The sequence below is a fragment of the Homo sapiens genome, chromosome 18 (genome assembly GCF_000001405.40).
Source record: "Homo sapiens chromosome 18, GRCh38.p14 Primary Assembly".
In the NCBI taxonomy this organism is placed as follows: domain Eukaryota; kingdom Metazoa; phylum Chordata; class Mammalia; order Primates; family Hominidae; genus Homo; species Homo sapiens.
Window position 1 is genome coordinate 25,992,299 of NC_000018.10, and position 23,802 is coordinate 26,016,100.

Consider the following 23,802-nt stretch of genomic DNA (forward strand, 5'->3'; position numbering starts at 1 on the left):
CACCCCTTGGTTCATGCACACATGGTATTACGTAGAGCCACTGCCTCCACTTTCGCAACAGGTTTTTCAGAAACCACTACCCTGAGAAATAGTAGTAGTAACTATTTATTAGTGAAGTTTCATCATACATTGTGCATCTTTCCTTTCCCTTTTCTTCAGCAATATTGCAGAGGAAGAGTAAGCTTAACATAATATACATGATCATAACCCAGCAGAATGAACTGTAACCAAGGAGAACGGCTTCATCTAGTACAAGAGATGCAAGGGCTCTTTACTTGGACTCAGATGTCCTCAAATGACCACCTTCTCTATCTCTTTAGGTTGCCCTACCTGGAAAATAGGGCTAATTCAACTAACCTAGATAACTCAGACATGATGGGAAAATTAGCTATTTAGGGTTCATTGAGTGCATTCAATATGAAAAGCACGACGTATGTCACAAACACAGGGCTGTGACTTCAGGGGAGACAAGAAACAGCAGGCACAAATGAACTTTTAAAAAACAAAGGCCCTATTCTCATGTAAATACTCCACAATAAAGGCTATGGAAAGAAAGCAGCAGGAAATATAAAATATAAACAGAATATTTTCCATGAGGAGTCAGCAGATTTTATCAAGTTAATAAATTATTACAATACAGCATATAAAATCAAACTCATGCAGAATCAGACCAGAGAATATAATGTGTGGCTGCTGGGATTATCTGGTGGGAAGGATCTCATTGATTTTTATAGAGCACTGGATCTGGGAGATTTTAAAATTAGGCAAGGATGATGACCCAGTTTGGGTGGGAAAAGCTTAGAGAATCCATTCAAGGAAGAATATAGCCCAAGAAGTCTCTGGAGGTAGAGTTATTTTTAACCTTTCAGACCTACATGACATAAGGAGAATTCTGAAAACTGAATGCAAAGAGGAAACATTTTATGAACTTCAGTATCCATTTCTCATCGTCATCACCCTGGCACAGAATTTTAAAAGAGTGGCAAAGTTTATTTACACTTAAATAGAGATTTGAGGAAAATAAAATCAAACTTGCTTTCTTGTTTTTACCAGCATATGTGAGAACAAAGTTGGATGAATTTTCTTTTGGGCTCTGATGAGACCAAGAAATCCTTATACAAAATAAAAACCATAGCATTAAATACAAAACATATTAGAAGTGGGTATGTCAAATTTAAAAATCAGTGGTGGCCAGGTACAGTGGCTCATGCCTGTAATCCCAATGCTTTGGGAGGCTGAGGAGGGCAGATCACTTAAGGTCAGGAGTTCAAGGCTAGCCTGGCCAACATTGCGAAACCCTGTCGCAACTTAAAATACAAAAATTAGCCCGGCCACCACACATGCCTGTAATCCCAGCTACTCAAGGGGCTGAGGCAGGAGAATTGCTTGAACCTGGGAGGCGGAGGTCGCAGTGAGCCGAGATTGCACCACTGCACTCCAGCCTGGGTGACACAGTGAGACTGTCTCAAAAAAATAAAATAAGAAAAATCAGTGGAAAATTTGTAGGAACACTGAGAACTACAAAAAAAATTGTGTATTAGTTAGCTATTGCCAAAAACAATGCTGCATAACAAGCAAAACACTGGTTTTGTGCCACCAAAACCAGTGGCACACAAGAAGCACTTGTTTTCATGGTTCTATGAATCAGACAGGTGATTTTGCTTCACAAAGACTGTGTCTGCTCTATGTGTCTTTCATCCTCCTTGGACTAGTGGGCTAGCCAGGCATGCTCACATCATGGGTCTAGGCTCAAAACTAGAATTTTCACCCAATTCTGTTAGCCAAAGAAAGGACTATGGACAAGCCCAAAGTCATGAGCATGGAAGTATACTCCATCCATGTCGTGAGGATCCAACAAGGGTAAAGAACTGAGAATTCAATCAACCACATTTTGTTTCAAAGTTACATATCAGTACAGCTCTGAAAAAATGGTCCAGTCAGAGATCGAAATGGACCTGAATACAGAGACACACACTTTTAACAAACTATTCGTTGTAATGATGATGTTTCCAATTTCCTTTTCATCTAAGTGTGTATTTTCCCTTGTGCATATAATAATTCTAATGGCTGACACTAACTTATTTTGTTATAACTGCTTAAAAAATCTACAGCAGCCAGGCACAGTGGCTCATGCCTGTAATTCCAGCACTTTGGGTGGCCAAGGTGGACAGATCAACTTGAGGTAGGGAGTTCGAGACCAGTCTGGTCAACACGATGAAACCCCATCTCTACTAAAACTACAAAATGTTAGCCGGGCATGGTGGCATGCATCTGTAGTTCCAGCTACTAGAGAGGCTGAGGCAGGAGAATCGTTTGAACCCAGGAGGCAAAGGTTGCAGTGAGCCAAGATCACACCACTGCACTTCTGCCTGGGTAACAGAGCAAGGTTCCATCAAAAAAACCAAACCAAACCAAAACAAAAAAACAACTAAGGCATTTTTCTTTTTAAACTTAAAGAACTTTATAATGGTTCTATAATAGGGAGAGATTAGATCCCGTGAGATGCATTCCCCATACACTGAAAGGTTTTGAAAGTGTTATTTCTGCAAATTACAAGTACATTCTTAAGAAGGGTTCTACCATGTTACTGCTTCCATCCTTAGAGACTAATTCCACTACATGAATTTTGGGAGCATTTCAAACTAAATGAAGAGTGGAGGCAGCAGCCCCTAGATTTATATTCCATCTTCATTAACCCAATGAAACTCACAACAGGCTCTCAGAAGAGTTAAAGGCTCTCAGAAGAGGTAACTCTCAAAAGAGTTAAAGACACACTTTTAAGCTCAATTACCCAGAGAATCTTTTCCATCTGCAATATCAACTGTCCCCATGCAAGTATTCCTCTTTATCACCAGAAATATTAAAAATGGCTTCTTAAGATATAACTTTAACCAATCAGATAAAAATATCAGTACTGTTCCATTTTGGTAAAGAAACATACTTTAACACTGTTGGCTAAGAAGTAAGTTTATACAAGTTTTTTGAAAGCAATCTGGTGATGTATATAAAAGTTAGCTAGCTGATATGTGAAAATATCACATCCTGTGATACAGTAATTCTACTTCTGAGAGTTTATCTGAAATAATTAGCTAAGTGTAAAAAGAAGTATATATGCAATGTTCATTGTTGCATTATTCACAATAATAAAAAAGCAGAATCTACCTAAATCCTCATCAATGGGAAATTTGGTAAATAAGTAATGGTACTTCCTTCCATACCATGGAATATTCGGCAGCTATGAAAAAAGGCAAAACTATTTATCTAATCATGTTAAAAACCCAAGATGTATTATTGACTGAAGAGTAGCAGATTAAAAACTGTAATAGTATATATAATTTGTTTGTTTGAGACAAGATCTCACCCTGTCACCCAGGCTGGAATACAGTGGGCATGATCCCAGCTCACTGCTGCCTCGAACTCCAGAGTTCAAGTGATCCTCCCTCCTCAGCCTCCTGGGTAACTGGGACTAGAGGCATGCACCACCACACCCAGCTAATTTGTGTATTTTTTGTAGAGATCGTTTTTGCCATGTTGCCCAGATTGGTCTCAAACTCCTGGGCCCAAGAGATCCTCCTGCTTTAGCTTCCCAAAGTGCTGGGATTACAGGCATGAGCTACTCCATCCTGCCATACATACATAAATTTGTGTGTATATTTTCATATATTATATGTACGTTCTATATGTGCATATGTATGTATGAAAAGCTATATACCAACCTATTCACAATAATAATCTCTTGGGGGAAAGGGTTGCTTTAGTAGTGTGGAGGTAATCGTTACTTCTGTTTTTTTTTTTTATGCACTTCTGTATTATTTGGATTATTTGTAAAGCATGTGTATTACTTTTATAATACTTTTTCAACTAAAAAAATCCTTTCAACTGTTTTCACTTCCTCTGTCCTTCATACCATCTAAACACAATAAAACCGTGCCAAAATGGGTGCCTGTAGTCCCAGCTACTCCAGAGGCTGAGGCGGGAAAATGGTGTGAACCCAGCAGGCAGAGCTTGCAGTGAGCCAAGATCACGCCACTGCATTCCAGCCTGGGAGACAGAGCGAGACTCCATCTCAAAAAAAAAAAAAAAAAAAAAAAAGTTCTGCCAAAATCCCACATATGCAGAAACCAAAATATTTGGGTAAAATGTGTCATTGTAAAGTAAACAAAATGTTGGGGAGCCTACAACAGCTATCCACTGGTAGTTCTGGGTCAGGTGCCAGATCAAATGTAGTTTAGCTGTGGTTTGGTTTGTCTACTAGTGGTTGTGTCTATTCTGGTTTAAATATCAATAGAGACAATTCTGGGCTCTGTGCCTGGCTGGGACGTCAAAGAAAGTACCAACAATTCCAGTTATATCCTTATATCCTGGTTAATCAGTATCCATTTCATAGCATGAAACAGATGCTAAGTCTAGAAGACTTAGTATCTAGAAAACCAGTATCTAGAAGTCTTCTAAGTCTAGAAGGCTACTGGGATGTGGCAACACACCCTTTGCCTTCCCACTTCCAAAGAGGGGGGTTACCTGCCCCTTCCCAGGCCAGGCTCCACCCCAAACCATTCTCACCCCTCTACCCCCAGTATAAGAAACTCAGCCTGCCCCTGTTTAAGAATGGAGGCTGAATGAGGACAACAGCCAATACCAATCCCTCTATCTAACTTCACTTATTGTGGGTGTCTTGTTACAGGGTTTACCATATTTCTAAACCACAGATCCCTAACCAGACTGCTTTCATGCACTTTTTTCATTCCCTTCCATATTCCCCCAGTGAGAATTTTTTTTCCACTGTCCCTTCAAGAGCCAATTCAAATGTTGCCTCCTTTATGTGAAGCCATAGAAATTCTCCTCCTTGACTCTGATAAAATGCTTCACTGTCCTCTGATCTTCCCCACTACTTTGTGCTTCTGTCAACATTTTCTTGATCATTTTCTGAAGTCTAGACAATCAACAGAAATAATAAATGAAGCTCCAATTTGTAGCATTTCCCAATTTCCATGGTGTAAATATTCCCACTGTGGCAGTTTTCAAGTGACCAACGTAACATCACTAAATGCAAAGCTGGAAATGATGTGTGGTAGTATACCATTAAATATTCTTTCTATCATACAGATGCAATAGACATACATAATCTCAACAGCATTGATAATACAGAAATGTAGCAAACTAGAAAATAATGAGTTTTAAGTATTTATTACTTTTGTCTTTAATATACTTTATTTCATTGTAAATTTACACAATTTTAATAATGTCTGGGTTTAGCAACTGGCTTATAAAATTCTTGAAATTTTAACGATTGGCTCTCATGAGATGGTGCAACACACACTATTGGTTTAAGGTGAAGTGGAGAGGTGTAGGCTGGGACATTAAGCGTACAGGTAGCAGTCTAACCAGGGATATAGATGAAATTCCTCCTGGGAGAATATATTTAGTAAGAAGGTAAGAGAAAGCAGCTAAGGATGAAACCTGGAGAATACCTATATATATATATATTTTTTTTTTTTTTTGGAGACAGAGTTTCGCTCTGTCGTCCAGGCTGGAATGCAGTGGCGTGATCTCGGCTAACTGCAATCTCCGCCTTCCAGTTTCAAGTGATTCTCCTGCCTCAGCCTCCCGAGTAGCTGGGATTACAGGCGCCCGCCACCACGCCCGGCTAAGTTTTTATTTTTAGTAGAGACGGGGTTTCACCATGTTGCCCAGGCTGGTCTCGAACTCCGGATCTCGTGATCCACCCGCCTCGGCCTCCCAAAGTGCTGGGATTACAGGCGCGAGGGATACCAACATTTAAAGGGCAGGCAGTAGGAAGTGAGCAAGAGATGAGAAATAGCAGATGGAGAGGTAGAAGTGCAGCCAGGAGACAAGGTGGTCCAGAAGCCAGTGGAGAAGAGTGATTGAGAAAGAGGGAGTGGTCAGAGGGTAAAAGAAAACCAAGAGATGATGACCAGGAATGGAAATTATGCAGTCATTTATGGGATCACTTGTTATTCATTCAACGTTTTCTGAGAATTCACTTTTAATGAGTGTTCTGGAATGCTTGGAAATCAAAAAGTGGGACCTTTCAATCTTACTGTAGGCTGAGACCCAAAACACACTCCACATGAGGTGCCAGCCCACCTAGACAGGGTTTGCCAAGACTTTCCTCCTAACCCCCATCTGAAGGGCATAAAAAGAGTAAAATTAAAGTCATATCAAAATGGGAATTTCTCTGAAGAGTTTTCAGGGGCTGTGTATGATAACTCCATGTGCATTTCACTTACTTCAAGTCCAGGATGCCATTCAGAACCACCTTGGAATCATCTGAAGTTTCTGGGGCTTGGGAGACACAGTAGACTGATGTCTGACTCATGCCAGAAAAAAAAAAAAAGTGTACAGATGAGAGACAGGCTGAAGTGGCACAGAGTACACTCCATAGACACAGAGTCCAGGGCTACATTTGAGGACTTACTGTACTACCTCTAATAGGAACCTCAGCCTGGAAATTTTGTAAGGTATCATGCTTAAGAGAGTTTTGCCAGAGGGCTAGGTGACCTCTGCATAAATGTTGGGGGTATCATCATATGTCTGGATGTGGAGATCAAGGGCAGAAAATAGCCAGCAGTAAAATTCTCAGGACCAGAATTGGACACAGCCGCACATTTACCACATTGAATTTTCTTTCCTTAGTTTCTGTGACACAATTTCTCCTGGTTTTCTATCTCTTGATTTCTCACATTGTCTGACTAGTTCTTCTTTATCTACCCACTCCCTCCAAGTGTTTACATCTTCAAGGTTTCAGTCCTCCTTATATTTCAGGAACTCCCCTGGTGATATCATCCTCTCCCATGGCGTCAAATGTTACCCCTGTGTTTTATGAGATCCTATAGCTCCAGCCCATCCTATCTCTTTGATTCTGTACTTAGATTCCCAATTGACTATAAGCAATTCTAAATTAGCTGTCTCATGGGGTCATCAAACTTGAACCCTACACCTTCCCTCTAAAATATTTGCAAATGGCCGGAAGTTTATTAAAAACTTTTACCAAAAAATCCAAAATTCTACTCCTAGATATTTACTCCTATTCACTCCTAGAAATGAAAACGTATGGACACACAAAAGAATTTGTAAACAAATGTTCATAGCAGCATTATTCATAATAGCCTAAAACTGGAAACAATACAAATGTTTATCAGCTGATAAATGGAGAAGAAAAATGGGGTATGTCCATACAATGAAATATTACTCAGCACTAAAAAGGGGAAAACCATTACACACGACATAGATCAATCTCAAAATCATCATGCCAAGTGAAAAATTCAGAAACAAATGTTTACATACTGTATGACTTCAGTTAAATGAAATTTCTAGAAAAGGCAAAACTATATAGCAACAAAAAACAGATTTGTGGTTGCTGGAGCCAGGGATGGGGACAGGTTTTGCATACAAATGGGCATGAGGAAATGTCTTGGACTGGTGGAAGTGTTCTAAGATTGGATTGGTGATGACAGCTACCCAATTCTATGAATTTAGTAAAATTCATTGAGCAGTACACTTAAAATGTGTGAATTTTATGATATGTAAAGTATACACCAATAAAGTTGTTTAAAAGGAAGTTTTAGAGTAGTATGTAACGCACATAGCAGCACTAAATCATTTAAAAAATAAACACAATGTAATATTTACATCTGTGTGAGCCCAGAAACAACTCTGGAAGGATACACACCATTCCATTACTGCTGATTAGCTCAGGGGTAAAAGGTGAAATGAATTATATTCTTTACACATATTTAAATATATTTAACAGTATAAATAACAGATATACTCTGCTTTGAAATTTATTTTTTAAAATAACAGAGGAAACTAAAGATTTAAACAAAACAGAAGGGCAGCAAGAGACTCAGGTCTAGCAAGTAGCAGTGGACACTTATATATAGTAGAAAGAGTAATATGGGCCAGGCATTGTGGCTCACAACTGTAATCCCAGCACTTAGGGAGGCTGAGGCAGGAGGATTGCTTGAGGCCGGAAGTTCAAGACCAGCCTGGGCAACATAGCAAGATCCTATCTCGACTTTTTAAAAGAGTAATAGAATCAATTGAAAAGGTGGACTGAATTGAAAATAACTCACTTGACCACTCCCTTGAAAGTCAGAGAGAAATCCAAATGAACATGAGTAGAAGTAAAAAAGAAAAGAAGAAAAGTGCTATTCTCACTACTGCAAGAAAAGCAGAAGAAAGGAATATTTCTGTGTTAAGTAGCAAAGCTTTCTCGAGTACTTGAAAAACCAAAAGCTGATAGAATTATGTGGCCAACCAAAAATAAATATATACAGTCAAAATAAGAATAATAGGAAGGGGGATTTGCCCTGCTAGATATGCATTCATTCATGTTTTCAGTAAACATTTATTGAATACTCATATATACCAGGCTCTGTTCTGGGCACAGACACTGTAACTGAATACAAAGGAAAACAAAATCTCAGTTCTTGTGAAGCATATACTCTAGTAGAGAGGAATAAGCAATAAATGAAACTCAAGATGTGTGTGTGTGTGTGTGTGTATTACAAGTTTATAATATAGTATGTGAGTTGATGATAATAAATTGGAAAAAAATTAAAGAGGAATATGGAGTACCCAGGGGGAAGAGGTTTCTATTTTAAATGGGTGGTCAGGGAAAACCATACAATTGAGGTGACACTGTGCGAGACTGGAAGAGAGGAGAGTGGAGTGAGCCATGTGGATACCTATGGAAAAAGCAAAGGCCCTGAGACAGAAGTGTGATTGGCAAGTTCAAGAACAAACAAGGAGACATGTGTGACCTCCTTACATTAAAACATACTTTAAACCTAAAACATTTAAAGGGGTGGGCTTTAGGGCAAGGATAAAACAACAAAACAAGATAAATAGCCCAGAGAAAGACTTTAATATATGATAAAAGAAGCAACAATAAAACCAGAATGATGTCACGTAAAGGGGGCAAAGGGGAAGAAAAGGGAGAAAACAACTTTAAAATGTTAATGATGTTTATCAATAGATAGTGGAATTATAGACAACTTTAGTTTTCTTCTTCATGTTTTCTGTATTTTTGAATTTTTCTAAAATTAGCATGTATTACTTTAAAAATGTTTTTAAGAGCAATGAATTAGTCTAAATGTATTGGTTAATATATTTAAGGAAAAATTTTATTTAAAAATTACAGATTAAAGTTATATGTTTTAAAAATCTAAACATTATAAAACAAAGAAAACATAGGTAAAAGTTAAAGGGCTTTTCAAGCTTTCAAGCAATAAAATAGACATATTTGCCTGTATTAGATAATCAATGTTATATACATATAAAATACCAAAATGAAAAAACTACTTTTTAAGTATAAATTACTGCTTAATTAACTTATCCAAATAACTATATTACAAAAGCATGACTTATTATCTATTGAGCGTATCCAAATACATAAGGAACCATTTAAAACCAGTAAGCAACAGATAAATAGGCAGACATGAACAAATAAGGAAATACAAATGGCTAACACATAGAAAATATTCAATTCAACTCATACTAATAACCAAAGAAATAAATATTAGAATAAACTACCATTTTTATCTGTGAGATTAACGAAGACTTACTTTTAAAAAATGCTAAGCCAGGCCCAATGGCTCACACCTGGAATCCCAATATTTTGGGGGGCAAAGTCCAGAGGATCACTTACGGCCAGGATCTCAAGATCAGCCTAGGCAACATAGGGAGACCCCCAACTCTACACACATTTTTAAAAATTAGCCAGGTGTGGTGGTGCACTCCTGTAGTCCTAGCTATTCCGGAGGCTGAGGCAGGAGGATCGTTTGCCCCCAGGAGTTGAAGGCTGCATGAACTATGATCATGCCACTGCACTGCAGCCTAGTGACAGAGCAAGGCCTGTCTCCAAAAAAATGTTACTAGTTAAAAATTAAAAAATAAAAATGCTAAAAATTGACAAAGGAGGATTAATATATACTCAGTCTATTCTAGGAGTATAAATTAGTATAATCTCATTGGAAAGAAATATGGCAGTATTTATCCAGAGTGTCAGAAAATGTTTATATACTTTGAGAAGATAATCCCATTTTAGGAATCTATCCTAAAGAAATAACCCCAAATAACAGTAATTTACTTATTTAGCACTTACCACATGCCAGGAACTACTATATCTAATGTATTAACATGCAATAACATTGAGAAATTTGAGTAATATATTAACTCATTTAATCCTTACAACCCTGAGGTAGTTAAGTATACTATTCTCTCTAGTTAGAGATACAGCAACTGCAGCACAGTTTCAATTGTTGCCCAAGGTTTCAAAACTAGTTAGTGATGAAACTAAAAAGGCAAGACTCAAACCCAGGCAGTCTGACTCCAGGTTCTATGTGCTTAATCACTCTGCTGCACTGCCTCTCAGGATAAACAGAAATACAAAGATGTTCGCCTCAGCAATACTGATGATAGGAATTTCCAGAAGAAAAGCCAAATATTCTATGATAGGGGAAATGACTAAGCAAAAGACAGAGTAGATAACATATTATACTTATTTTTTTAATATAGTTTTTAAATTATAGGTTATTATTTAGGTTATTATAGACTCTAAGAAACTTTATTAAGAAAATTAAAATGATTGTACTGAAAATGCAAATAATATGGTTTGGTTTTAAAAACACTTACATTGTTCTTCCTCTAGTCTAAAGCACTATCAATTATAAGAGTAAGACATATCATTATTTTATGTTATAAAGAAAGAGAACAAATCTCAATTTCAGAGATACTAAAATGTGAACTCAATGGATCTCAGATTTAGTTCCAACTAGGAGGTATTCTTTCTCTGAAGATAATTTTTGATCTGAGTTCCCAAATATGAAACTCAATGCAGTGTGGCTATTCTTTTAGGCCTGAATGTTTATACAAAGTCCCTTCTCCATTGTGGCAACCTTATTGATCCATTAGCCCAAATATGAGTCAACAGATCCTTCACATCAAGGAGCCCTTGCTATCTCTTTTGGAAAGAAGAGGAGAAATTATTACTAACAATTACACATGCCAGACCAGAAGCCCATCACTCCCACTGTAAGGAAACTTTATAGCAGAGGAACTTGAGAATTCTTCAAAGCCATAAAATATGAAAAAGAAAACAGGTTTAACAAGTGGCTTGAAAGAACACGGTTGAGTGAATACTATGCAGTAAGGAAAGCCATTTGGAATATCACAGATTATTTAGGGAGGATTATACAGAGGGATAGAGAAACACTGGGAAATAGAAGGAGCATTGTTAAGGTGGAACTGGCATGGAGCCAAGGCTATGAGAACATTGTGAAGCACAGAGGCAGAAGGAAGCTCATGATGGTAAGATTGTTACAGGTATCATATAGTTGTCTATACTGGTAAAAGAGCAAAATAGTGCATGCTTTCCTAGCAAGTCGGATTCTAATGGTTTAGCTCTGGGCACAGACTAGCAGAAAACAGACAGTAAAGAGAGAAAATGTTGTCATATATGTCATCGTTCCATCTGCATTCCCACAAAATATCTTCCACCAAGGAGACTTTTTTTTTTAATTGAGGGGCAATGGGACAGTTAGCTATGTTTATCATTTTAATTATTGCAATGCTATGATTCATTAATAAATCACTGGTATGACCAAGCATCTACTCCAGACCTACTCAAAACGAAACGTACCCTTCTAGTATACAGCTTAAGTATAGACATCTATACAGGTGCACAATCTCCTCTCCAGCCTCGTGGGGCCAGATGTGTGCATAGGCAGTATATTACATGGCACCTCCAGGGGACGCTGAATCAGATAAAGAGACTATAACCTCACCATGGGTCAGACCAGGTTTTATAGCCAAATGACCTCAGGGCTGGTCAGGATTTTGGAATTTTGGCTAAGGCACTGTGGACTCAGGTTAAAGCCCTAACTTTTACCTCTAATCCATCTATTTTACTACTTCATTTTCAATGTATGAATCCTAAATGTCTCTATATATCCTAATTAATAACATTTCTAATAATCAATATTTATGGAACTCCCATTACATAACTGGGCATTATTCTAGGCATCATTCTAGACATCAAGTGACTAGTAGTAGACAAAACAAAACCCCTGCCTTCGGGGAGCTTTCAATGACTCCCCTGGGACAATGAGAGAATTCATAAATGAGCTATAAATAATTAAAGAGTTCAGTGTTTCATTCCTAAATCTATTCATGGCTGCCAAAAAGACCAGAGACCACATCATATAACACAGCTATTTATATTTTATCATGTCAATGTCAAACACAAGAAATTCATAATCAAGCTTTCCATACAGCTTTTTTTGTACTATTATTTTAGTAAACATTTAGAATATATAGCATATATGTAGTCATATCCCCCTGTCCCTCCCTAAAACTGCTTATTAAAACTGCCAGCCCAGCTGGGCACAGTGGCTCACACCTGTAATCCCAGCACTTTGGGAGGCCGAGACCAATGGGTTGCTTGAGCCCAGGAGTTCAAGACCAGCCTGAGCAACATGGTGAAACCCCATCTCTACTAAAAATACAAAAATTAGCCAGGCATGGTGGCGCTTCCCTGTTATCCCAGCTACTTGAGAGGCCGAGGTGGGAGGATCGCTTGAGCTTAGGAAGCGATCGTCAAATTGCAGTGAGCCAGATCGCTACTGCACTTTAGCCTGGGCAACAGAGCGAGACGTCGTCTTGGAAACTGCCATGCCTGCAACCCCAGATGGGTTGACACCAGCCCGTGATCCCAGCAGGAGAGCCACAGGCACTCAACTACAACCCTACTATAACCTGACAGCTGCAGTGTGGGCTGTGCCCAGCAAAGCCACGAGGGAAAGGGCGCCAGGAACTCCTGCCCCAGTGTGTCCAGAGGCAGTACTTTGAGTCAAAGATTATCCTGGGAATTTAGAACGTAATATTGTTTGCCCTGTTAGGGTTGGAACTTGCTTGAGACCTGTTACCCCTTTTTTCTTCCCTATTTCTCCCTTTTGTTATGGCGATGTTTATCCTATGCCTGTCCCACCACTGTATTTTGGAAATACACAACTTATTTGATTTCACAGGTTCACATATGAAGAGCAATTTGTCTCAAGATGAATTGTAACTTGGGTCTCACCCATATCTGCTTTAGATATTTAGATGAGTCTTTGGACTTAGACTTTAATGTTGATGTTGAACAAGTTACATTTGGGGCTACTTGGATGAAATGAATGTATTTTACATATGAGAAGGATATAAATTTTGTGGGGCCAGGGATGGACTGCTATGGTCTGAATGTTCTGTCAACATTAATGTGTTGAATTCTAATCACTAAGGTCATAGTATTAGAAGGTGGCATCTTTGGGAGGTGATTAGGTCATGAGGTTTCCCTCATGGGTGGGGTTCTGCCCATATAAAAGAGACCCCAGAGAGCTCCATCACTCTTTCCACCATGGGAGGACACAGACAGAAGGCCCCATCTGTGAACCAGCAATGGTGCCCTAACCAGACAGTAAATCTCCCTACATCTTGAACTTGGACTTCCCAGTCTCCCAAACCGTGAGAAATAAATTCATTGTTTATAAGCCACCCAGTTTATGGTATTTTGCTATAGCAGCCTAAACAGACAAAGATTCTTGTGCCTTAATATCTTTTTTCTTGATCAATTTATTTTTATCTTTTAAAAAAAACAGCTTTTGATGATCCTCTAATTTTTAAATTGTATTACTTTCTGCTTTTTAATAACTTCTTCAAAATTCTAATGTTTTATCTGCATTCAATTTTGGAATCCTCATCTATATTCCTGAGTTAAATTTCAGTCTTTTTTGTTTTTAAATAAAACCATTGAAAGCTATCAATTTACTTCTAAGAATTGCTATATCAGCATCTCATGTTTTTTCCTTCCTCTTTTTTACGTGTACAATATATTTTTGTTAACTATAGGCTACAGATACCAGTTTTGATAGAGAACTTTTATTGTAGCTCATTTCTAAATTTCTGCTGAGACCTTCTTTAACCAAAAGCTGTTTAATCAATTTTGAAAGTTCTTAACACATGTACTACTGTTGTCAAAGAAAATGACTTATAGAATACTGACTGAACTTTGATCAGACTTCTTTTGTAAATTAGCACAAGTACATTTTTTAAAATTACTACATATACTTAAAAAGAATGTATATTCTGTCAGGTACAGGATTCGATATTCATTTTTAGATTTTCTGCATCAAAGCTATCCTGTATTCCACATCCACTGGCCATATGTGGCTATCGAGCACTTGAAATGTGATTAGTGATAGGCTGTAAGTATAAAATACAAACCAGATTTCTAAGGCTTACTATGAAAACAAGGATGTAAAGTGTCTCATGAATTTACATGTTGAAATAGCATTTCTGATATATTGGGTTAAATATATTATTAAAATGAAGTTTCCCTTTTTATACATTTTTAAAACATAGTTACTAGAAAATTTTAGCCTGGCACGGTATCTCACACCTGTAATCCCAGCACTTTGAGAGGCCAAGCAGGCAGATCACCTGGGGTCAGGAGTTTGAGACCAGACTGGTCAAGATGGTGAGACCCCTGTCTCTACTAAAAATACAAAAATTAGTTGGGCATGGTGGCACTGCCTGTAATCCCAGCTACTCGGGAGGCTGAGGCAGGAGAATCGCTTGAACCCAGGAGGTAGAGGTTGCAGTGAGCCGAGATTGCACCACTGCACTCCCGCCTGGGCAACAGAGGGAGACTCTGTCTCAAAAAAAGAAAAAAAGTGTTCTGCATCCTTATTAATGTTTTGTCTGTTTTAAACAGAGTTTCTGCTACAAATGGACTAAAATCTTTTCATTATGATTTTGGAGTTTTAAATTTTGCTTATACTTCTCAGTTTTTGCTTATATAATCCAACGTTATATCTTAAATACTTAGGATCCTTTCTTATCCCTATTAATGTTTTTGCCTTACAGTTTGATATTAATATACCTGTATCTAACTTCTAGATTTTTGTTGTATTTTTAGTAACATCTCTTAATAAGCAGAAGTTGGGGTCCACCCAACCTGATGTCCTTAAATGAGTTTAATCTATTTACATTTATTGTGATTACTGATGTATTTACACCATTTTATCTTCTTTTGTATTTCTTAACCACCTTCCCCACTTTTTTCTCCATTCATTCCTCCCATTGGATGAGTACATTTTCTCTATTCTCATGCTTTTTTCCTTTCTTCTCTTTACTGGCTCTAAATTTCTGAATTGTATGTCTTCTTTTAAAAATGACTTTTACATTTTATTATTATTTGAGAGAGTCTGGCTCTGTTGCTCAGGCTGGAGCGTAGTGGTGCGATCTCGGCTCACTGCAACCTCCCACCTCCCAGATTCAAGCGATTCTCATGCCTCATTCAGCCTCCTGTGTAGCTGGGATTACAGGCGTATGCCACCATGCCCAGGTAATATTTTGTATTTTTATTAGAGACAGGGTTTTGCTACGTAGGCCAGGATGGTCTCAAACTACTGGCCTCAAGTGATCTGCCTGCCTCAGCCTCCCAAAGTGTTGGAATCACAGGTGTGAGCCACCATGCCTGGCCTACGTTTTGTTGTTTTACCTGAAAATTTTCCAACTAAGTTTTTCAGTTTTCCTATTCTCCTGACCATGAAAACCCTTTAGCATGTTAACCCTTTAGTTGCATGCATGCAACCCTTTATCATGACCTATAATCTATTCATTGGTCATGCTTCCTATCTTGTCATTGTATCTTAGTATTGTATCAGCTATTTATTGCCACAGTAATGCTGCATTAACAAAGAACCACACACACAAACAAATCAGCAGCTTGTATAACAATAAACATTTATTTAGCTTAAGAGTTTGCATAGTCCAGCTGATCTGTGCTAGACTTGCTTATGCTTCTACAGTCAGCAGGCTGGTTGGCTAGGTGGCTCTACTGATTTTGGTTAGGGGTTAGCTGGTGTTGGTTGTGCCAGTTCGGCTTTGCCCCATGTGTCTCTCACATTCCTCCAGCAGGTTAGCCTGGGCAGGTTTCCATGGCAAGGGCAGAGGTACAAGAGTGGAAGCAGAACTCCACAAGCACTTTTACAAACTTCCTTATGAGTCAACAACATACCCTTGGTCAAAGCAAGTTACATGGCCAAGCAGAATCAAGTGGCAGGAAAGTAAGTCCCACTCCTGAGAGAAACATATTTTAAAATCTGTCTGACTTTTATATAAAAAGGGGGCATGGACTTGGAGGGCTAAAAAATGAGGCCATTAATGGAACCAACCTATCACACTTAACTGTACCTTTTCTCACACCCAAAAAAGTAATGTTTCCTACCCATAATTATGTTTTGACAAATTTTATATAGTCTCTATTCTTGTTTACATCCTACACCTTTCTACTGTATTATTTTCTTTTGCTCCAGTACATCTTCCATGGATGATGAATTCTCTTGATCTTTGCAAGCCTGAAAATGTTCATTTTGCCCTCACTTCAGAATTATATAGGTTGGTGCAAAAGTTATTGTGCTTTTTACCATTACTTTCAGTGGCAAAAACTGCGATTACTTTTGCACCAACCTAATAGTTTAGCTGGGTGTAACATTTAGACTTATTTTCCCTCAGTATTTAACTCTCCTATCTTTTGATTATTGCAGAGAATTCTGTCTAAATTTTCTTTATAGGTAATGTGCCTTTTCTTTCAGGTAGTTTTGAGATTTTTTCTTAACAGCAATATAATGTGTCTAAATATGGACAGGATTCATTTTTATTCAACCTCGTTGGAACTTGGTTAAGTTACAATCCGTGTATTCACAGACTCAGTTGTGGAAAACTGTGAGCTTTGTTTTATATATATATATATATATATATATATATATATATATATATATATATATATATATATATATATTTTTAACCAATGCTTCAATTTCCTTTTGCTGAAGCTCCCATATTAAAACTCTGCACTCATGTCTTAATTTTTCCTTCATATATATATACATTTTTTAAAATCTTATTTCTTGGTGCTCTGGTATGGGGCAATTTCTCATACCTTCATCTGTTTCACAGATTTTCTTAACTGTGTCCAGCCTATAGTTTATGCCAATTGAGCTGGTCCAATTACTACATTTTTCACTCAAAAGCTTTTTTTTTAAGAGACAAGGTCTTGCTTTATCACCCAGGCTATTCTGCAGTGGTGTGATCATAGATCACTGCAGCTTCACCTGCTGTGTTCAAGTGATCCTCTGGCCCCAGTCTCTGGAGTAGCTGGGACTCCAGGTGCAACACCCAGCTCATTAAAAACAATTTTTTTTTTTGTAAGTAGAGACAAGGTCTCACTATGTTGCACTTATACGATTTCCAAATGGTTTTTACACGTACCTGTTATTTCACTTGTTTTTGTTTTATAATATCTGAAAATCTATGTGGATGGATGGGTTATCTCTTTAAACATTCCAAAATACATTATTTTAAAATCTGTCAGACTTTTAAATAAAATGAATGTTACGTGGTTTGAATGCAGGTTCCAAGTTAGTTTGTTAACATATTTTGAAAGTTTGGTTCATGGGCTTAAAGCAGGAGGTTCATTTTTTTCTCTCTTCCCCACCATTCCTGCTTCCTTCTGTGCATCCCTTTGTCTCCCAGATCCCAAACCAAGTCTAGAATCAAAACTTTGAGAAAATTTCTTCCTATTCTCCTAATGATTTTAGAAATTATTTAAAATCCAATACTAAGCTTCAAAATAGCTTGGTTTCGTTCTAGATCGAGAGGCTAAATACGTATCTTCTAGCATCATTATGTCCAGCTTCTTCAAAACAAGGCCCTAGGTGGTGGCTAGCAAGAAGGGAGCTTTTGTTAGTTTTCTTTTATAAATAGGAGGGAAAGTGGGAGAAAGTCACATTCTAGCCTCTGCCTTAAAGCAGCAAACCTGGCTCCATTATCTTATTATATTATTATGTATATTATTTTTTGGCTCAATTACTCCACAGGAACCAATTTCTCGAGTTTCACTGTCAACTTCTACACTCAGAACCCAGGAGGCTCATGGTTTCTGCCTTCCCTATTTACATTTTTATTCCGCTTTTGATCCATAGAGATGCTTACCTTCTTTGAACCTGACTCTCTGTACTTTAATTCTTCTTTGGTTGGTTTCTGTTAGTAGTAGCAGTATTATGTGTATGGTGGGTTACATCAAAGTATGATATAATGCCTTCTTGATCAGAAGTCTTTATATAGAATATTCAAATAAACACATACACCAAAACACACACACTTTCTGACCTTGAATGACTATTTGAAATAAAGAATTTATTAAGTAAAAATGTAAGATACACATTTTTAGTGATACTGACTAAACATGAACTGTTATTATCTTCCAATAGATTGTTGAAAATTATGGTTCAAAGCCACTTAATCACCCGAACATTCAGGTAGAATTTTATTTCACAGAACCAAAAAGAGTTAAGTGACACTGATTTCCAGCTTGGAATTCAATTTCTTCTTATAAAAATCCCAGTTATAACTTATTAAAAATCAAAATGCTTTTTGGGGGGGTGTGGAGGATGAATAACTTTCAGACTAGCCCCAGAGTTGTGAATAAAAAAAAAAAATGCTGTGTTTATTTAGAGAGTATTACCCTTTGGAGCCACCGTTTGCACTAATGCATTTTACATTAGCGTGCCGCATCAGGAAATCCTGACTTTTTGGTGCCAAGGGGGTAATTAATATCAGTTCATGTTTTCAAAATGGTTGTGTTTATGTGGGAATGAGGACTGAACACTAACTTGTAGAGCTTGAAGTATGAAAGCTTGCTGTGAAGCAAGATCTTGGGAAAGAATGGAATACTGAAATTAATGAACAGGAAATAGGATTTCTTTGGATAGAATATTAGTGCTGAAGAGAAAGCCAAACTACACTTCCTTGCTCTTAATTTTCAAGGCAATAACAGACAGAATTCCCTAGTATAGCCATATTGATAGAAAAGAAGGTAAAATCCTTGATAGCTATATGCAGTATTTTGGTCCACTGATACCAGAAGTCCTGATAAATATCATTTCTAAATATCATTCCATAGCTAATATAGTTACAGCTTCTGTAGACATAAAACTCTTTACATTTGACCTAAGCTGAATAAGAGCTACTATTAAAGTAAAATCAAAATACTTTTGGTGCATGTTTTTTTATCCTCAAAGAAAAGATGGCAGAGAAACTAGAATCAAAGTACACATGCCATAGAGTCAAAGTCAGAAAACTAAGGAAGCAGCAAGAAAGCATTAGAGAAAAAAATTCAAAGAATCGATTAAAGTGATAAGTCAAAACGAAGTTGAAATCTTGAGAGAGGTTTTATGAGGTCCTACCTACAAAATGCTCAAAATAAGTACATGGAAAACATGATATTTATAAAATTTATAATTATACATATGCTAAAAAAGATCAATATTAACTATATTACCAATACTTTCAAATTAACCAAATTTATTGTTATTAAATGTGGCATTCCCATTCATTCAACTGATGGAAAGCAGAGAGTGATCGTAGAGAAAATGCTACATAATTTTAGCCTATTTCACTAGTCACAAACATGAAAGGAATTACTATAATGTATGCTAAACACACAGTACACTCACTTGTCATTCCTAAAAATTGATTCCATACAGAGCATATCATAGAGTAATATGAATTGGCCACTACTGCATCACCCTACATCAGAGTACAGGATTTGCTCCTATCACAAAGGGCTTAATAACATAGAAGTGTTACTTCTCTCATGTCGAAGTCCAAGCTGATTAGCGGGAGAGGAGAGGGCTTCATGACAACCATTTTCAGGGGACTTTTGCTTCTGTCTACCTACACTGTCATTCTCTGGAGTATCTTTCTATCTATAAAGCCAAAGCTCCCTAACAATAGGTCATGTTCCAGCCCATGGAAAAAAGAAAAGAAAAACGAAAGCACCGTTTTAAGAATGTGGTCTAGAAGCTGTACACATTACAACTCATAGCCTCCTGGGTTGAACTTAAAGTCATATGACCACACCAAGCTGCAAAGGAGGATGTTAAATGTCTCTAGGTAGGCAACCATGCACCCACCCAAAACAATAATGGAGGGGCCGGGCACGGTGGCTCATGCCTGTAATCCCAGCACTTTGGGAGGCTGAGGTGGGCAGATCACGAGGTCAGGAGATCGAGACCATCCTGGCTAACACCGTCAAACCCCTTCTCTACTAAAAATACAAAAAAAAATTAGCTGGGTGTGGTGGCAGGTGCCTGTAGTCCCAGCTACTCGGGAGGCTGAAGCAGGAGAATGCTGTGAATCCAGGAGGCGGTGCTTGCAGTGAGCTGAGATAGCACCACTGCACTCCAGCCTGGGCAACACAGCGAGACTCTGTCTCAAAAAATAAATAAATAAATAAAAATAATAATAATGGAGGAAAATCATTATTCCTAGGAGAGAACAAAAATGATAACCTTTCAGAACATTCAGGATTTCTTTTTCATCTATTTTAATATTAAATAATATTTTAATATACTATATCATGAGAAACCCTCTCAGGATGATATCACAGTTCAAAATTATAACATAAATGCATCAACTCACATATCTAAGTTCTTTTTTTTTTTTTTGAGACGGAGTTTCGCTCTTGTTGCCCAGGCTAGAGTGCAGATGGCACAATCTCAGCTCACTGCAACCTCCACCCTCCCGGGTTCAAGCGATTCTCCTGCCTCAGCCTCCTGAGTATCTGGGATTACAGGCATGTGCCAACACCCCAGCTAATTTTGGATTTTCAGTAGAGACGGGGTTTCTCCATGTTGGTCAGGCTGGTCTTGAACTCCCGACCTCAGGTGATCTGCCTGCCTTGGCCTCCCAAAGTGCTGAGATTACAGGCATGAGCCACCATGCCCGGCTCTAAGTTTTTAAACTATGGATCTCTATCAGGAAAAGACAAAATAAAAAATATATACCCATATATCTAACATATACGCATATATAATACACATATACACACATATATGCACCTGTATTTGTGTTTATATATGTAATGAACACACGTTTGTACATATATACATATGTGTGTGTATATATATGTAAAACAATCTCCCATTCTCAAGGTTATCAAATTGGGCAATAAATTACATTGTCACTCTAATTATAGGTCTTTATTAATGAAAATTATATTGCATTGTCTATTTCTGAGACTTCAATTTGTAAACAATAAAAGTTTTCTACTGATTTCTTTAGTAATCAAACAGAGATACTTTGGGGCAGCTAAAAAGACAGTCCATTAGCAGGGCACAAAAAAATTAAAGAGCTTTTAAACATCAACAAGCAAAAATCTCTAAAAGTTGTAGTCATTCTTTATAAAAACACACTTCAATAATTTTCTTACTATTAAGAAGCTAAGGGCCAGGCATGGTGGCTCATGCCTGTAATCAATCCCAGGACTTTGGAAGGCTGAGGTGGGCGGATAACTTGAAGTCAGAGTTCGAGACCAGCCAATATGGCAAAACCCCATCGCTACTAAAAATACAAAAAAAATTAGCCAGGCATGGTGGCATACTCCTGTAATCCCAGCTACTTAAGAGGCTGAGGCACCACAATCGCTTGAACCTGAGCGGCGGAGGCTGCAGTGAGCCAAGATGGGACCACTGCACTGCAGCCTGGGAAATAAAGCAAGACTCTGTCTTTACCAAAAACAAACAACAAAAAAGCTAGTGATTATGTATAATTTTGCAGATAACTTTTATCAAATAAAAAAACACTGTGTTAGAGAAAAACAACTCACAAGTTTATGCCAATTAAATTAGACAGTTAAATGCATTTAACTAGTCCTTGAAATGGAATACATAAAACATAAATAAATAGCTTTAACTATAATTAATTTTTTAAATTAAAGGAATAGAGTGGCTTCTCAAATCACTGGAAGAAAAATGATACAATAAATGATGCTTAAGCAACGTTATCCATAAGAAAAAAATTAATGTCCTAAATTATATCATGAACAATAAGTTTCAGAAAAATGGAAGCAAATATGAGGAATATTTTTACAAATTTGTTAGTTGGGGGGAGTCATAAGCCAAACTTTTGACTACATAAAATCTTAAAGCTTTAATACAGTGAAAGACATCATGTTACAAAATAATGGACAGAAGAGACCTGCAACAATAGAAGAGACAAAGGATTAACTGTGCAGGGACATATGTAATTTTACATGTATGTGCACACATCTCTGTGTGTCTGTGTGTAATTTCCTCTCTCTTACACAACAAACATCCCAACAGAAAAACAGACAAAGAACATTAAAAGGCATTTCATAGCCAAAAAAAAAGTGTAATAGGTACTTAAATTGATGCTCAACTTACAAATAAATGCAATTCAAATAAAATTCAGAGATAACATTTTAAAAAATTGATGAGAATTGCAAAAATTAGTAAGACTAATGAAACTGGTGTTGCCAGTGATATACCTTTTATGGTGATACTTTTTTCAACATCCATAGCCTTACACCTAAGATATTAAAAATTTACTGTAAAGAAATACCCCAACAGCACACAAAAAACCCCAAAAAAACAACTCTGCAATATAGCTTATAAAAGCTTTGTTTCTACAACAGTAAAAAATTAAGAGGCAACAAGGGAACAAGGAGCATTCAAGATATTTCTAAGTTAAAAAGAAAAGAAAGTTGCAGAATAGTATGTAGTATAATTCCGTTTTTGTTTTAAAAAACAACATAGGTTGGCTTATTGTGTAAAGTTAAACTGGAAGAAAAGTACCAAATTTTTAATAATTGTGACTTTTAATGGATGAAATTATGAAAAATGTTAACTCTTTGTATAATGTATGTCTATTAATCTTTTATTTAACATGAATGACTTTTTAAAATGAAAGAAAAGGCAATGACTTATACGTACAAATTCTCAGATGGTTTCTAATTCAATGTTAACATTGAAAACACAGAATTTAGGAGCAAGAAGAATCTTCAAGTACTTTTAGATATGTTTACTGGAATATTTAAGTGATTAAATAATATAGCGTTTGTTTCTATTTGGGGGTTAGTGTATGAACAATCAGAAGTTTCGCCATGAGTTGCTAAGTATATAAATTGGGTTAACATTACATGGGGGCCCATCGCACCATACTCTGCTCTACACTTGGGTGTATGTTTAAAAATTCCATTAAAAAATTTTAAGAGAAAACCAAAAACAATGTGCCACCTGAATAATGCTACAGAATAATAACATATTCCCAAATAACAGAACTAACACACTTAGCATATTTTGAAATGTTTAATAGTGACCCCACTCTTTTCTTGGTAATACTTTGTTTCTGGAATTTTATGGGATAGTATGATATTATTACTTCGATAAAATGCAAATTTCAGTTGTAGAATATATAGTCTGTACAGAAATGTCAAATCTAGTAGACAGCTACTGGTAAAGTTATTCCTCTTACTAGGTATCAGAGGAGTAAGGTAATTTTTGTCACCACCAATTAAAAACTTTTACAAAATAGGACTGTTATAAAACAATTAAACCTTGCAAATGCACTAGTCTCCAGGAAGAAAGTCCTGGAGGAAATTCTGCTTATTAAAATTGCAATTTTAGTTTCCATTAAAAGGAGAATAAGACAACAGAAGATGGGTTGGCAAGACAAATTATTTCTTAATGTCAGTTGAGCTTATTTCAAATGAGATAACGTACTACACCAGGTTGGGTTCAGTACAATTTTGTCTCCTCAACTCATTTATCTAATTCAGTCATCTTGATTATAGCCTTATGGACTTCATTTTCGGAGAAAGAATTCTGTAACAAACAGCCTACACAACATGCTGATTACTGAACGGTTAATTCTAAT

The 23,802-nt window shown here is 37.0% G+C and overlaps 1 annotated feature.

The window, feature by feature from the left end:
- Positions 11,587–11,686: an enhancer, noted in NCBI's record as "active region_13177". NCBI's record gives its function as "activates an Ori minimal core promoter by ATAC-STARR-seq in GM12878 lymphoblastoid cells {active_cell/tissue: GM12878}" and the evidence as "EXISTENCE:reporter gene assay evidence [ECO:0000049][PMID:35858748]".